Here is a 16,982-nt window from a genome sequence, read left to right on the forward strand (position 1 = left end):
GACAGAGAAACCAGGTAACTTTATTTCTCATTGTTTAGGATTTTCTTTTTATTATCAAATCTCTGCTATAGAAACACTGAAGAAAATGGGAAAAAAAATCACTGGAGAGGCAGCATAAAATGGTGGCTGAAAACAAGAACTCTGGAGCCAATCTCAGCTCTACTCCCTTACTAGTTGTGCCCCTTAGGTAGGATCCTTCAACATCTCTGCTTCAGCTTAGCCATTTGTAAAACTGGGGTAACAGTACCTATCTCAGAGTAAAGGGGACTAAACAAGTTAACACTTGGAAAGCATTTAAAAGAAAGCCCAGCACATAAGTGTTATATGTATTTGTAAAACTTTTTAAAAATCTCAACTGGGTTAACTTTTCCATGGATCTTTCAGGTCCTTACCCATATACATTTTTTTAGATGTGTTACAGTAAGTATGTATATACAATTCTGTATCCTTTTTATTCCTTCATGTTATGTATACTGATGCAGTGTCCATAATTATAATTTATAGTGATTGCCTAAAACAAATTACAAACTAATTGCCCAACAATGCAGTGATGAGTAACAATGGACGCTGACACACTGGGCTAAGGATCACTTTCTGTCCAGCAACATCAGTCTCACACTCCTAGGCAATAACTTTTCTACCGTTAGTCATCTCATTCATTAATTTTCTCTAAGGAGGTTAATCAACAGTAAATACCCCATTCAATACTATTATTTTTCTTACATTCAGATTTAGCACTTCATATTCTACTCCTGGGCACCCAGACCCTCCCCTTATAACAACAAAATCTGTATTTCTACAATTATGCACAAAATGTTATTGTAGAGTTTTCCATCCAGTACTCCAGCTTGATGCAAAACAGTGTATTTCCAGTCAAAAACTTTTCTCTGCATAAGGTTTTTCCCTTAGCAATTCACACCAATCTACAATTGGTGAGAGCTCTTGCTAAAAGATGCCTCATTCCCCACAGTCATGGTCCTCAAGTATGAATTACTGGTAGACCATAAGGGGAGTTTAGAGTTTCCTTCATTGTTAATTATCTGATTTTGAGTAAGGGCTAAATAACTGCTGAAAGCTTTTCCCTATTCTTTTCCTTCATGGGGTTTCTTCTAAGATGATATTTTCTAGTAAATAATGTGGGAGAAGTCTTACTGAACTCTTAATGAAAAATGTCCCCTCTTGATTATGTTTATAGGGTTTTCCTCAATGTGTTGTCAAATGTACAAGAAACGAAAAACTCGCATAAATTCAATTCAGTTTCTCTTCACTGTGATTTCTCTGGTGTTGAAGTAGGGCTGAGTGACCACTAAAGGCTTTTCCACATTCACTGCATATAAAGCGTTTCTCTCCACTATGCATTCTCTGATGAATAATAAGGGAAGAATTCTTACAAAATGCTTTTTCACAATGATTACATTTGTAGGGCTTTTCTCCAGTATGGTTTCTTAGGTGTACAATAAGGGATGAACTCTCATTAAATGCTTTCCCACATTCATTACACCTGTATGGTTTCTCTCCAGTATGAGTTCTCCGGTGTGCAATGAGGTGAGAACTACAGTTAAAGGATCTTTCACACTGATTACATTTATAGGGTTTCTCACCAGTGTGAATTCTCCGATGAGCAACAAGGTGACAGCTCTGACTGAAGGATTTTCCACATTTATTGCATTCATAGGGTTTTTCTCCAGTATGAGTCCTTTGATGTCTAACAAGGTGAGCCATCTGGCTACAGGATTTTCCACATTTATTACATTCATAGGGCTTAATTCCAGAATGAATTATCTCATGTTTAGTGAGGGCTGAGCGTTCTCTGAATGCTTTGCCACATTCCTGACAGTTATATGGTTTCTCTCCCGTGTGAGTTCTCTGATGGGCAATAAGATGGGAGCTCCAGCTGAAGGATTTTCCACATTCAGTACATTTATATGGTTTTGCTCCAGAATGAGTTCTTTCATGTTTACTAAGGGCTGAGTAGTCCCTAAAAGCTTTTTCACATTCATCACATTTAAAGGGTTTCTCTCCAGTATGCATTCTCATATGGGCAATAAGATGGGAGCTCCAGCTGAATGATTTCCCACATTCAGTACATTCAAAAGGTTTCTCTCCTGTATGAGTCCTCTGATGTCCAATAAGATGAGAGTTCCAGTTGAAAGATTTCCCACACTCATTACAAACATAAGGTTTTTCTCCTGTATGAATTCTCTTATGTACAATAAGATGAGAATTCCAGCTGAAGGCTTTTCCACATTTATTACATTCATAGGGTTTTATTCCAGTGTGAGTCCGTTCATGTTTCGTAAGGGCTGAGCGATTCCTAAAAACTTTTCCACATTTATCACATTCATAGGGTTTTTCTCCAGTATGAGTTTTCTTATGTTGAATAAGGTAAGAGCTCCAGATGAAAGACGTCCCACATTCATTGTAGTCATAGGGTTTCTCTGCAGTGTAAGTGCTTGTATGTTGAGTAAGGAAAGAGTCATACCCAAAGACTTTCTCCCATTCATTGTATTTATACGCTTTCTCTACAGTACCAATTTTTTGATGTTCCATAAAGGATGAGAAATAAAAGATATTCTCATATTCTTTGTAATTATACTGGTTTTCTCCAACATGAAGCCTTGGGTGTTCATTAAATGATGGGCTCTGGTTAAAGATTTGATGGCATTCCTTATATTCATAGAGTTTTTCTCCTGTGTGAATTCCTTTATGATCACCAAAATGTATTATATGATTGAAAGATTTAACAGCATCAGTACATTTGAAAAGATTATCTCCAGTTTGTATTCTTGCAGGGTAAATAGGTTGAATGGACTGATAAACAGTTTTGTCATAATCATTATTTTCACAGGTAACCTTATCTGCATACATTATGGCTGAGTCACATCTCCAACTTTGAGCATGTGTATCAGGCTTATAGAAATGTTCTATCTGAGAAACTCTCTGAGATGGAACAAAGTTTAAGTTCTGGCTAAACTCTGCCCCAAGTCCACAGAATTCAGAGCTTCTCTGGGATAGTACTTGCTTTTGCATGAAGACCATCTGCCTCATAGCTGTACTCTGGTTCATGTGGTACATTTCTAATTGGTCTTTACATCCCAAAACTTCTAACCTGGAGAACCAAGGATCATCCCATATATATCTTTCCAACTTCATGCCATGGGATTGTTCTTCCTCAAAAATGCTCTGTGCTGGGATCAATGCTTTGCTTTCAAGATTTCTCACCCATTCTGAAACAGACAGAAAAAAAGCTATGAGAGCATAGAGAAAGACATTAGAATAAAGTGGGAATGGTGAGATTTACTGTCCATATTATCAAAAACACTAGTATAAATTTGTTTTCAAGTCCAGGCTTAGAACTCAGAGAAAGATCATAATAGGGAAAAGAATAGTGAAAAGTAAACAACAGTTAACCAGAATACAAAGTGTGTACTGAAAACTAATGAAACCATTTAAAAGTACTTTCCATGAAAAGGAAGACCAGTATAAGAATGTGCAAGAAAGAGGCCGGACGAGGTGGCTACGCCTGTAATCCCAGCACTTTGGGAGGCCGAGGCGGGCGGATCATGAGGTCAGGAGATCAAGACCATCCTGGCTAACACAGTGAAACCCTGTCTCTACTAAAAATACAAAAAATTAGCCAGGTGTGGTGGCGGGTGCCTGTAGTCCCAGCTGCTCAGGAGGCTGAGGCAGGAGAATGGCATGAACCCGGGAGGCAGAGCTTGCAGTGAGCCAAGATCGCGCCACTGCACTTCAGCCTGAGCGACAGAGCGATACACCGTCTCAAAAAAAAAAAAAAAAAAAATGTGCAAGAAAGAGTTAACTCTGCAGGCCTGACGTGCTCAAACCTTGCAAAGGTAGCCTGTTTCCTAACTGGCCCTTAGCCAACTCCTAGGAATTAAGATCTTGGAATGTTCTAACTAGTAAGAGTGTTTTGCATGCTCAAGGTATTGAAGCACATTTACTTTTAACTTATTTAGATATGTGTGCAAACAATGTCATTCATAGTGATCACCTGCTTTCCCTCAGGGTGGTCTGGAGTTTCAGCGATGGCAGTGAGTCACGCAGGCACTGTGTGCCTGGATGAGCAACCTCTCAATAAACACACTGGACTCCTAGACTCAGGCAAGTTTCCTAGTAGAAATTTCGCACGTGTTGTCACAACTCCTTGCTTGAGGAATTAAGTGTGCCCCATGTACGCTACTGGAAGCTTGCACCTGGTCTAACCTCATGCACCTTTTTCCTTTGCTGATGTTGCTTTGTATCCTTTCACTGTAATACACCATAATCCTGAGTATAATGACTTTTGAGTCCTATAAGTACTCATAGTGAATCAGTGAACCTGGAGGTGGTCTTGAAGACCCCTGACAAAAGGACCCAGTGAATGTTATTAAGGTTAAAAAAGAAAAAAAAAGAATAAAGCCTTTCATCTTAACAAAAGTTAGGTAGATGAGCACACAAGGCCTTTAGCAAGTAATATTTACATCATGAGTGCTCTCACTTCTGTGTTATAATGTCCTTCTACTCCCATATCTTGACAAGTGCAGAAAAAAGGAGGAGAGGGGTGTTTAGAGAGTATCACCAAGCGAGGCTTCAAGCCAGGATGTTATCTATGACAAAATGCTTTGTTTCCTATGTCACAGAATCCAGTCAATCACACAAGATCCACCAACCCAAAGGGCAAACATCACCAGAGTTTATGGATACCCCTAAAGTTACACTTCTATCCACCACAGAATATTTTTAGAGCAATGATAGATGGACTAGGAAGACAGCATAGTGTGAAAAAACAGACACAGGAGTTACAGTCTGCTAATCTGTATGTGAACAATGGCCCTGCTGCTATCCTTAGAGAGCTTTTCTGATGACTAAAGTCGAGACTCAGAATCCAGCCAAACTCCTGGCAAGTTTAATACACAGGAACTGCCTATTATCACTGCTTAAGTATCAATCCTCTAACAACCAAAGGAGGCTATATTAGTTTCTTTCTGCTATTGTAACAAATTACCACACATTTAGTAACTTAAGGTAACACAAATTTATGATCTTTCCGTTCTGGAAGTCAGAAGTCCAAAACGGCTTTCACTGGGCTAAAATGGAGTTATTGGCCGGGTTGTGCTCCCTCCAGAAGCTCTAAGGAATCCACCATATCCTTGCCCTTTCCATCTTCTAGAAGCTGCCCCAATTCCTTGGCTCGCAGCTCCTTCCTCCATCTGCAAAGCTCATCACTCCAACCTCTGCTTCTGTCATCACATCCTCTCCCATGTCTCTGACCCTCCCACCACAATCTTATAAAAGGACCCTTGTGAGTACATTTAGAATCCACTCAGACAATCCAGGATAATCTCCCCACAGCAAGATCCTTAATTTACTCTCATCTGAAGGTCCCTTTTGCCATACAAGGTGCCCCATTCACAAATTCTGGAGATTAGGATGCAGATATCTTTGTGGGGGAAGTCATTATCCAGATTGCTACAGGGTCTAAAGCCCCAGGCAGGTCCCAACAAGAACTAGACCTTGCCCTCTCTCTCTGCTTCTTTTTTTCTCTTTACTATATGTAATTTCCCCCCTTTTACCACCCAAGTCCATTATTTTTTGTTTAATTTTTTTGAGACAGGGTCTCACTCAGGCAGGAGTGCAGTGGTACCGTCATAGCTCACTGTAATCTCAAATTACTGGGCTCAGGCAATCCTCCCACCTCAGCCTTCCGAGTAACAGGACTACAGGCATGAATCCTGTATATACAACCATGCCTGGCTAAATGTTTTTAAATTTTTTATAGTGACAGGGTCCCGCCATGTTGCCCAGGATGGTCTCAAATTCCTGGGCTCAAATAATCCTCCCACCTTGGCCTCCCAAAGCACTGGGATTACAAATGTGAACCCCCATCCCTGGCCCCCACGACCATTATAACAGAGGTTCTACTCTGCACAACTGGCATTTATTATCAATTTCAAGCTCAGCTCTTAAAAGTTACTGAATTATCTTCATATAGATTTTTAAATCCTTCCAGTAAAAGCTTTTTACAAATGGAAGCTGACCAATTCCCTGACCAAATGAAAGACCAACTGAAAGACCAAATGAACAGTTCTTGTCCAACTTTATACTCACTCAGTACTTGTAGTCTACTGAGTTTCCAGCACCAGAGACAAGGCAAGAAAGTACGGTCTCCCTGGAAGTCAGAATCTATGTGAAGAGAGATCCTACCAAACAGTGATGAATATACATGAAATATCACTCTGAGGTCGGGCATGGTAGCTCACGCCTGTAATCCCAGCACTTTGGGAAGCTGAGGCGGGTGGATTACCTGAGGTCAGGAGTTCAGGACCAGCCTGGCCAGCATGGTGAAACCCCGTCTCTACTAAAAAAATACAAAAAATTAGCCGGGCATAGTGGCAGGCGCTTGTAATGCCAGCTACTCGGGAGGCTGAGACAGGAGAATTGCTTGAACCCGGGAGGTGGAGGTTGCAGTGAGCCAAGACCACACCATTGCACTCCAGCCTGGGCAACAAGGGCAAAACTCCGTCTCAAAAAAAAAAAAAGAAAAGAAAAAGAAATATCACTCTGAGATGGTGGGGTTATAGAACAGATGCTAAGTGGGTGGGAGATCAAAAAAGGACATCAGCACTAACTGAAGTGATCGAGGATGGTTCACACAAGAGAAACAACATGAGCTCAGCCTTGAAGCACGACCTGGGTACAGACTGACTAGTCACTCAGCATGAGCAGAGGCATGCATGGCGTGACCAGTGTGTGAGGAGGAAGATAAGGATACCTGCTGAATAAAACTCCAGGAGCTATTCAGGAAATGAGAGAAACAATAGAAAAAATAGAAGGTTTTGAAATCCAGTTGTTTTGTTACAAGGCAATTAGAATCACTGTAGGTTTACTGACAGGGATCTCATAATCAAAGATTTCAGGGATATAAATCTAGAAATAGTACCTGAGGTGGCTAATAACAAGTGAGAATTTCCTCATCAACTTGGGCTGGAATTTTACGAGAAAGGGGCCGGACTGTGAGAGTGATGATGGAAGCTGAATGACGTAACTAACATTTCAGAGGAAGAAAATCTTGGGAGTTAGAAGAGAGATTACTTCTTGGAGAGGAAAGAGCTCGAAGTCAAGATGACTTCTCAATCTCCAGCTTAGGGGACATGCAGAAATGCACCTCAGGAAGATGGGAGAACATCTAGAAAGTAGAGACAAGATTACTGGTTCTATCGGCTGTGATCAAGGAGACAGGTGAGATGCTTTGTAAAATGGGAGAAGTGTAAGGACAGAGGTGCTGGAATTGCAGGGCTCTGGATGGTAACTAAGAATGGGCAGCACTGAAGGTAGAAGAATTAAAGCTCCTGGAATTCATGAGCTCTTAGGGGAAAGTTTCCAATCTGAATGGAAAACAACTGGAGAGATTCTCCACAAAAGTCCCCTCCATTAGAGTGGGTGGAAGATAATCCAACTTCAGGACTCAAGAAGAGGCTGTGGCACATTGCCAAAAATAATAAGATAAAGACAATGTGTATAATCTCCTATTGTTGAAAACATGAAAAATAACTACAAATTCCTACATGCTTGTAGCTGCATAAAGAAACTCTGTTATGCATGTAACAGAAATTACTAAAAGTGATTACCTGAGGCAGAATGTCAGTGAAAATGGCCAAGTAAAGACATGTAAAATTTCACCACTCTGTAAAACCAACTAAAAAACTGGCAAAACTGTCAGAAGGCAATTTTTCAAAATTCTGTAAATTAACCAAAGCCTAGGCCAGGCGCAGTGGCTCATGCCTGTAATCCCAGCACTTTGGGAGGCTGAGGCGGACGGATCACGAGGTCAGGAGATCAAGACCATCCTGGCTAACATGGTGAAACCCCAACTCTACTAAAAATACATAAAAATTAGCCAGGCGTGGTGTCGGGCGCCTGTAGTCCCACCTACTAGGGGGGCTGAGGCAGCAGAATGGCGTGACCCTGGGAGGCGGAGCTTGCAGTGAGCTGAGATCATGCCACTGCACTTGAGCCTGGGCGACAGAGCGAGACTCCATCTCAGAACAAAAACAAAAACAACAACAACAACAAAAACACAAAAAAACAAAATTAACCAAAGCCTTGCAGCAACCAGGAAAACATGTATTCTAGAAAAGTAAATTTTAATAAGAACAGTAAGCTATATGGTGTTCTAACTTACCCCGGTCCCATCTCTGGCTCAGTAACAGCCTTGGAAAAATGACAGCCCCCACTTCTGGTACTTCAGTGAGCAGAACAAAGCTGGAGCTTTTTCAAAGCCTCATTCTCAAAGAACACTCATTACTAGACCTGCCTAGTGGCTCCCTGGAAGACTCCACTGGAAAAGCTGGTCTTTATTTTGCCTGACAGAGAACTCTCATAGTGTTACAAAACCTCTAGGGAGGAGGTACTTTTCTAACATTTACAGGCAATGTTTTAAAGTCACCACTGCCTGAGGTGATGGCAAACAGGTGGGGCCCAAAACACACGAGTCAAAAAGATAGAATGAAAGAGCTGAGGAATGAGATGTCTATAGGGACTCTGAGAAGCTCCAACCTAGAAGGCTACATGCATACCCATAATAATTAAACTAGGGCCAGGGGTGGTGGCTCACGCCTGTAATCCCAGCACTTTGGGAGGGCGAGGTGGGTGGATCATGAGGTCAAGAGATTGAGACCACCCTGGCTAACACGGTGAAACCTGCCTCTACTAAAAATACAAAAAAAAAAAAATTAGCTGGGCGTGGTGGCGGGCCCCTGTAATCCTAGCTACACAGGAGGCTGAGGCAGGACAATCGCTTGAACCCAGGAGGCAGAGGCTGCAGTGAGCCAAGATCGCGCCACTGCACTCCAGCCTGGGCGACAGAGCAAGAGTCTGTCTCAATAAATAAATAAATAAAATAAAATAAAAGCCGAAGAGAGAATCCTGAAAGCAGAGAGAAGAAATTCATCACGTACAAGGGATCTTCAATAAGATTAACAGCTTGTTTCTCAGAAACGACTCAGGCCAGAAAGAAAGACAAAAAAACATGACAATCAAGAATTCTATACCCAGTAAAATTATCCTTCAAAAATGAAGGAGAAATCAAGAGATTTCCAGATAAACAAAACGCCACAGTTCACTGTTAGCAAACCTGTCCGACAGGAAATGCTGGCTGGGGATAGTGACTCACGCCTGTAATCCCAGCACTTTGAGAGGCTGAGGCAGGGGCATCACTTGAGCTCAGGAGTTTAAGACCAGCCTAGGCAACACAGTGAGGCGTGGTTGTGTGCACCTATAGTCCCAGCTACTCAGGAGGCTGAGATGGGAGGATCACTTGAGCCTAGAAGGTTGAGACTCCAGTAAGCCAAGATCATGCCACTGCACTCCAGCCTGGGCAACAGAGTGTCTTTTCTATCTCAAAAAACAAAATGGAAATGCTAAAATGAGTTCCTCAGGCTGAAATGAAAGAACATTCAACAGTAACTCAAAATAAAAAACAGCAATAAAGATAGCTACATAAGTATAAAAAGACAATATAAGTAAAATTCTTGTTTCTAGCTCCTTTTTTTCAGTCTGTTAAAAGACAACTGCATAAAGCAATAATTATAAATCCATATTCATGAACACACAATGTATAAAGATGTAATTTGTGACAAAACAGCATAAAAGGAGGAGGGCAGAGCTATACACAAAGTTTTGGTATACTATTAATATTACACTAGTATTAATCCAAACTACATTGTCATAAATTAAGATGTTAATTGTAGGGCCAGGCGTGGTGGCTCACACCTATAATCTCAGCACTTTGGGAGGCCAAGGCAGGAGGATTGCTTGTGCACAGGAGTTCAAGACTAGCCTGGGCAATATAGTGAGACCTTGTCTCTACAAAAAAAAATTTTTTTTTAATTAACTGAGCATGACGGTGCATGGCTGTAGTCCCAGCTACCTAGGAGGCTGAGGTGGGAGGACTGCCTAAGCTTGCAATGCAGAGGCTGCAGTAAGTCAAGATTGTACTACTGCACTCCAGCCTGGGCAGAAGAGCAAGACCTTGTCTCAAAAGATGTTAATTGTAATCCCCAGGGCAACTACCAAGAAAATAACTCAAGATTTTATAGTAAAAGAAAAGTAGTTACCTGTGTGTATGCCTCTGTGTATCTGTGTTTTGGGGGAATAACAGTAATGTGAGTAACAGCAGGGAGTAAAAATGAGTTATTTTTGGTGGTGTTTTTCAGACAGGGTCTTGCTCTGTCACTCGGGCTGGAGTGCAGTGGTGAAATCACAGCTCACTACAGCCTCAACATCCCAGGCTCAAGCAATCCTCACCTCAGCCCCCTGAGTAGCTAGGACCACAGACATGCACCATAAAGCCCAGCTAAGTTTTTTAATAAAGGAGATTTTTTTTTTAGCTTATACATTTTAAGTAGCTTTCAGATATTTGAACATTACCTATATTTTAAAAATCTATTTTGTTTGGTACCCACAAGATCTAAGTAAGAAAGAACAAAAGCCCAAGCCGGGAACGGTGGCTCATGCCTGTAATCCCAGCACTTTGGGAGCCCGAGGTGGGCGGATCACTTGAGGTCAGGAGTTCGAGACCAGCCCAGCCAACATGGTGAAACCCCGTCTCTACTAAAAATACAAAAACTAGCCAGGCATGGTGGCGGGTGCCTGTAATCCCAGCTACTCAGGAGGCTGAGGTGGGAGAATCGCTTGAACCCGGGAGGCAGAGGTTGCAGTGAGCCGAGATCGCACCACTGCACTCCAGCCTGGGCGACAGAGCGAGACTTTATTTCAAAACAAACAAACTAAAAAGCCCAAAAAGACTATTTTTTTGAAATAAGCATCTATAGCTATAGGTTACAAGTTTGGCAATACAGGAAATAAGGAAAATATTTGAAGTAGCTACATGGATAAGAGGTAACCTTAGAGGCAACCTTAGAGGAAGGGACCGCAGAAAACAGGAGCCATCAAGAGCCGACAGCGAGGGAAAATGGCTACCTTATTAGGATGGTGATGCTTCTTTGCTCTAAATCAAAAGCAGCAAGAGAAGAAAGCTCCTTAGAGGGAATTCTAAATGCATCTGAGGAAGGTAACTCTTCATGGCCTTATCCCATTTCTCAACAAAGAGGGCTTGGGGGGAAGTTCCTTGTTCAGCCTGGGGTCTGCCCTCACCTGGACAAGTGCGTTGAGGACATGCCTGCTCCACTGACCACGGCTCTTCTCCTTGCTCCAACAGGGAGATGACCTCAGGCTTGGCAATCTGATTTCCTATGCATGGAGGAAAAGCATGGAAATCATGTCATGAGGCTTCAGGACAGCCAAAGAAAGCTTCTCTTGCCTATTCCTCCCTGTGACTTCTCAACCTGGGCAGAATATGCAAGGTCCTTCCCACTCCATGCTCTTTAAGCATTAGGAGTTTCATCCCTGAACCTCAGGGCCCAAGATCATCTCAGCTCTTCTGAGACACCACCCTCGCCCCTGCAATGAGCTTCTAAACATGGAGCAGCTGAAGGCATTACCATGGGAACAGCTTCGTTTACTTGGGCAGCACCTGCCTTACCCACAGAGAGCAGGTGACCATAGGTCTCCAGCATCACATCACGGTACAGGGTCCTCTGAACAAGGTCCAGCTGCCCCCACTCTTCTTGGGTGAAGTCCACGGCCACGTCCTTGAAGGTCACTGGTTCCTAAAAGAACACAAACGTTCCTTCTCAGCCTGTGACCACCCCCTCCAATATTTCCAGGGATGGAGTGAGGCTGACAGCCCTGGGGAGAGAAGACAGGATGTAGAGAAACTCTCCTGGTTATTCAAGAGTCTGACTAATGTGAGTCAGGTCTCATTGAGAACCACCCAAGACCTCATATTTGTTATATACTCTTAGGGAATTAGATACCTGGGTCCACAATAACCACAGCAAAGCTGAGCAGGTCTCTTCGAAGACTCTTGCCAAATTCCAGCACACTGGCTATGTCCCCCACCTTGGCAACACCCCTCTTCTGGAAAGGCAGTCATATAAAAAGGCCTGGACCAGTGCAGCAACAGGCTATGAGCACTGGCTACAAGCGAGACCTTGAGGATGGAGTCTTTGCTCCGACACCCAGATAAAGGACCTGAAAGGGTGATCTGTACATTCACAAGTTGTCTTTCCAGCCATGGTGGGGAGGTTTCCATTCTCAGTTCATCTCTGTCCCAAGGACTGAAGCTAAGGGTGAGCAGGATGCCCCAGAGCAGCCCAGGCCAAGGAGAATCGGTTACAGCTGCCATTAAAAGCACATTAGTTACAAGCAATCTAAACTGATTTTTTTTTTTAATGAAAGCAAGAAAACTAACTGGAAAACGAGAAGGAAAAAGGAAAGGTAATCTAAGTCTGATTTTTCCAATGAATACATCCCTCAAGTCCTTTTATTATTATTTTTTAATTATTTTATCGAGACAGAGTCTCGCTCTGTCGCCCAGGCTGGAATGTCATGGTGTGATCTCAGCTCACTACAACCTCTGCCTCCCAGGTTCAAGTGATCCTCCTGCCTCAGCCTCCCGAGTAGCTGGGACAATAGGCGTGCACCACCCCGCCTGGCTAATTTTTGTATTTTTAGTAGAGACAGGGTTTTGCCATGTTGGCCAGGCTGGTCTCGAACTCCTGATCTCAAGTGATCCGCCCACCTTGGCCTCCCAAAATGCTGGGATTACAGGCATGAGCCACTGCACCCAGCTTCGAGTCCTTTTAAGAAATCAACTCGCCAGGCACAGTGACTCACACCTGTAATCCCAGCACTTTGAGAGTCCTAGGTGGGCGGATCACGAGCTCAGGAGATGAGACCATCCTGGCCAACATGGTGAAACCCCGTCTCTACTAAAAATACAAAAAAATTAGCTCAGCGCAGTGGCACACGCCTATAATCCCAGCTACTTGGGAGGCTGAGGCAGGAGAATCGCTTGAACCAGGGAGGCGGAGCTTGCAGTGAGCCGAGATCGTGCCACTGCACTCCAGCCTGGATGACAGAGCGAGACTCCATCTCAAAAAAAAAAAAAAAAAAAAAAAAAAAAGAGCCGGGCGCAGTGGCTCACGCCGGTAATCCCAGCACTTTGGGAGGCCAAGGCAGGTGGATCACAAGGTCAGGAGATTGAGACCATCCTGGCTAACACGCGGTAAAACATCATCTCTACTAAAAATACAAAAAAATTAGCCAGGCGTGGTAGCAGGCACCTGTTGTCCCAGCTACTCGGGAGGCTGAGGCAGGAGAATGGCGTGAACCCAGGAGGCGGAGCTGGCAGTGAGCTGAGATCACACCACTGCAATCCAGCCTGGGCGACAAAGCAAGACTCTGTCTCAAAAAAAAAAAAAGAAATCAACTCAGGCCAAGTGTGGTGGTGCACACCTGTAGTCCCAGCTACTGGGAAAGCTGAAGAAGTGGGAGGATAGCTTGGGCCCAGGAGGTGGAGGCTGCAGGGAGCTGAGATCGTAGTACTGCACTCCAAACTGGGCAGTAGAGCAAAACCCAGTCTCAAAAAAAAAAAAAAAAAAAAAAATCAACCGCAAGACACCCGCTCAACAGACACGTGTGCAGTATACCGCTCCCACTCCAAGGGTCCTCTGGACCTGTGCCCCTCCTCTTCACAGCTACATCATATCACTTCTACCCAAATACAGCGTTTCCTGTGGCCCTCTTAGTCACAGCTTATGAACTGAGTTTGCTGTCTCTGATCTGGGCCAGACCTCCCTGCTGAATTTTCAGTGTATCCATTTTTACTCTGTCTCAATTGCTTCCCCTCTACCTTCACATGATGGGCTTAAAACAAAGAACTGCTTCTGCTCCAATAAATACCATACCCTGAAAAGTCAACTCCTGCTCAAGACCCCCCAGGCTCAGCCTTACTGTGCCCCATGACAAGGACTGTCCATCCTCTTTTCCACGGCTGAACCTCATCTCTGTGTCTCACAACCTCGAAGACACAGAATCATCCCTCCTGCAGCCTCACACCCCATGTAGAGACGCCTCCTGCACCCTCGTCCCACTGCTTCTGACAGTCCATCTCCTCCTGCAAGGTACAGTGCACCCTCGCCTTCTCTCCTTCCTTGTCTTCCAGCCTTACCCCAGTGCAGTTCCTCCTCTGCCTTTATTATCCGTTTTCCTGTTCCTTGGTATTGGAAATTTTTTCTTTATATTTATCATTTTTGCTGATCTATATTGAAGGATCTTGGAGCAACAATTATATGATTCTTATTTTTACCAAGCTCTCACCAAGATCTCCCCAATGTCTTGTGATTGTCAAGTCCAAAGTTTGATTTCTGCCTTTACCTTCTTGGCCTATGCAGCATTTGGAAGTGCTGGCCACAACCTCCCTCTATGAAACACTCCCCAACCCCCATGGTCAATGACAACTTCTTGGTTTTCCTCTTACAGACTGCCCAGACCTCAGTATGCTTGATGACTACTGTTTCTACATTTTATGGTAATGTAAGGTTTTTTTATTTAAATGTAACATGGAGTTGGGAGTGGTGGCTCATGCCTGTAATCCCAACACTTTGGGAGGTCAGGAGTTCGATACCAGCCTGGCCAAGATGATGAAAACCCGTCTCTACTAAAAGTACAAAAATTAGCTGGGCATGGTGGTGCACGCCTATAATCCCAGCTACTCGTGAGGCTGAGGAATGAGAATCTCTTGAACCTGGGAGGCAAACGTTGCAGTGAGCCAAGATCGCACTACTGCACTCCAGCCTGGGCGACAGAGTGAAACTCTGTCTCAAAATAAATAAATAAATAAATAAATAAATAAATGTAATATGGCCACAGAAGTGCACAAAACCTATGCTTGATGCACTTTCACAGAGCAATGGCACCTGGGGAACCAGCTAGGCAGCTGTGCTGATGGCCCAGGGTGCCTCTGACCCTGTGCTTGTCTTACACATCCTAACCTCCCTGGGGTGGCACCTTCTTAGATGGCTTCAATGTTCACCTACACTTAACAAGGTGCAAACCCACACCCTAATGGCTGACCAGCTGGTAGACTAAGCCACAAATTCACTTCCCACCCCTCCCAAGACCCCAATGGAATCATTATATGTTCAAAAATAGAGGAATTACATCTAATAAACACAAGAGGAATGAAATCATTGGAGCAGTTCTGCAGTCCCTAATAAAACAGTGGACAGTGGCAATGACCATCAATGACTGCTCAGCTGCAGGTGAAAGGCAGACAGGGAGCTTTATAATGGAGGGGTCAGTCTGACAATACCTGCACCCACTAACCCATCATACCTGAAGATGGGACAACCAGACACCATGTGCCCACTGATGCAATGCAGTATGAAGAACCCAGCACCACCTATGAAGTATTCTTATCAAAAATACCAAATGAATCTACTCAGGCCTCTAGTCCAAATACTAGCTAACAGGAGACGAGGGGATGGAGGAACTTATTCAATGACATCATGAAGGCAAAAATCAGGCAAACCAACAAGACCAGTGACCTAGTTTCTTCAGCATATGAAGCATGTGCAGTGTGTGGGCCTTGTTTGGATCCTGATTTGAACAAACCAACAACTGTAAAAACATATTTTAGAGACACATAGAGAAAACAATATGAACTGGATATCAGGTGACATTGAGGAATTATTGGTAATTTGCTGAGTATGATAAAGGTATTGTGGTTTCTTCCTTAAGGGTACATATCTCTTAGATACACAGAAACACTCACAGGTGAAATGATACAATTCTGAGATTTGCTTTCAAATCCTCCAGTTTAAAAAAGGTTGTGTTGGAATAGATGAAAAGAAATGCAGAAAGTGGAAAGCTGACAGCTGCTGAAGCTGGTCAACATGGGTGCTTGCAGCAGGCTGAATAACACCCCCCAAAGGATGCCCATGTCCTAATCCTAGAACCTGTGACTGTTATCTTAATGATAAAAGGAACTTTACAGATATAATTAAGAATCTTTAGAGGGATTACCCTGGATTATCCAGGTGGCCCAGTGTAATCACCAAAGTCCTTATCAGTGAGAGAGGGAGGCAGGAGTCAGAGTCACAGGAGATATGACGCAAGCAGGGGTCAGAGTGATGTACTTTGCAGATGGAGGACAGGGCATGAGTCAGGAAGCAGTCTCCCCTTGAGCCTCCAGAAGAAACACAGCCCTGCAGACCCATTTTAGACTTCTGAGCTGCAGAACAGTAGAATAAATTCATGTTGTTCTAAGCTATAAAGTCTGTGGTAGTCTATTACAATAGCAACATTAAACTAAGACATAAAACTAAACTAATACAGGGTTCATCTTCTACTTTGGGGTTCAAAAATCTCCTAAATAAACAGTTGGCTTTTTTTTTAAAGAACGTTAAAGAAATAACCCAGCCAGTGAAAAAAAATGGGGGCGTCAGCACCTTGAATTCCACTTATTCCTCCAAGAGGCAGAACAGATAGATGAAGGTAAGGCTGACCAACTAGACTAGAAGCGATTCCAGCCCCACACTAGGAGGCACCACGGTGAAGCAGGTGCTTCCTGCAAGAGGACTCTGGGAGAGGCAGGAGTGAGTCAGGCTGAAAACAGGGCAGGTGAAAGTCTGCACTCGCACAGCTTTGCAAGTGCCTGTGGGTAGTACTGCCAGCAGCCATGTACTTATACACGGGCAAAAGTCCCAGGAGCCTCCTCAGACTTGAGACCGCGGCTAGGTTCTCAGGCTGCCCAGGTGAGTGGAGACCTCTTCAGTCCCACCAGGTGGGGAAGAGAAGGGAGTCTGTGGCCTCACAGCTCTATATCTATGAAACTGGAAGCAGAACTGACCAGCTGACCCTGGCCCATGCAGGCCCACGAAACCCAGGGCATGCCTCACCAGGAGCACAGAGCGGAGTGGAAGGCACCAATCATGAATCAGATCTATGCAGCTGAAGTAGAACAGGACTTCCAGCCTCACAGCCCTGCCCTGAGAAACACACACAGACCAGACGTCTCCTGGACATGAGAAACACCTGATGCACAGATAAAGCGACTGAACTAAGTAGCCACAAGG

General features: G+C 43.8%; 1 protein-coding gene across 5 annotated transcripts in view; it reads right to left on the reverse strand.

The window, feature by feature from the left end:
* Positions 1-16,982, reverse strand: part of ZNF606 (zinc finger protein 606) — a 26,294-nt gene continuing 9,312 nt past the window's right edge. For 3 of the 5 annotated variants that reach the window (NM_001348024.3, NM_001348023.3, NM_001348022.3), the window contains 3 exons: positions 11,543-11,669; positions 11,155-11,250; positions 24-3,227 (listed from right to left, as the gene is read on the reverse strand). In NM_001348024.3, the coding sequence (NP_001334953.1) occupies positions 1,249-3,227; positions 11,155-11,250; positions 11,543-11,576 (2,109 nt within the window). In that variant the 5' untranslated portion in view covers positions 11,577-11,669 and the 3' untranslated portion in view covers positions 24-1,248. Of the gene's footprint in view, positions 3,228-11,154; positions 11,251-11,537; positions 11,670-16,982 lie in introns of all 5 variants that reach the window. The other 2 variants (NM_025027.4, NM_001348025.3) reach the window with 2 other exon arrangements.

This window comes from Homo sapiens, chromosome 19, assembly GCF_000001405.40.
Source record: "Homo sapiens chromosome 19, GRCh38.p14 Primary Assembly".
Taxonomy (NCBI): domain Eukaryota; kingdom Metazoa; phylum Chordata; class Mammalia; order Primates; family Hominidae; genus Homo; species Homo sapiens.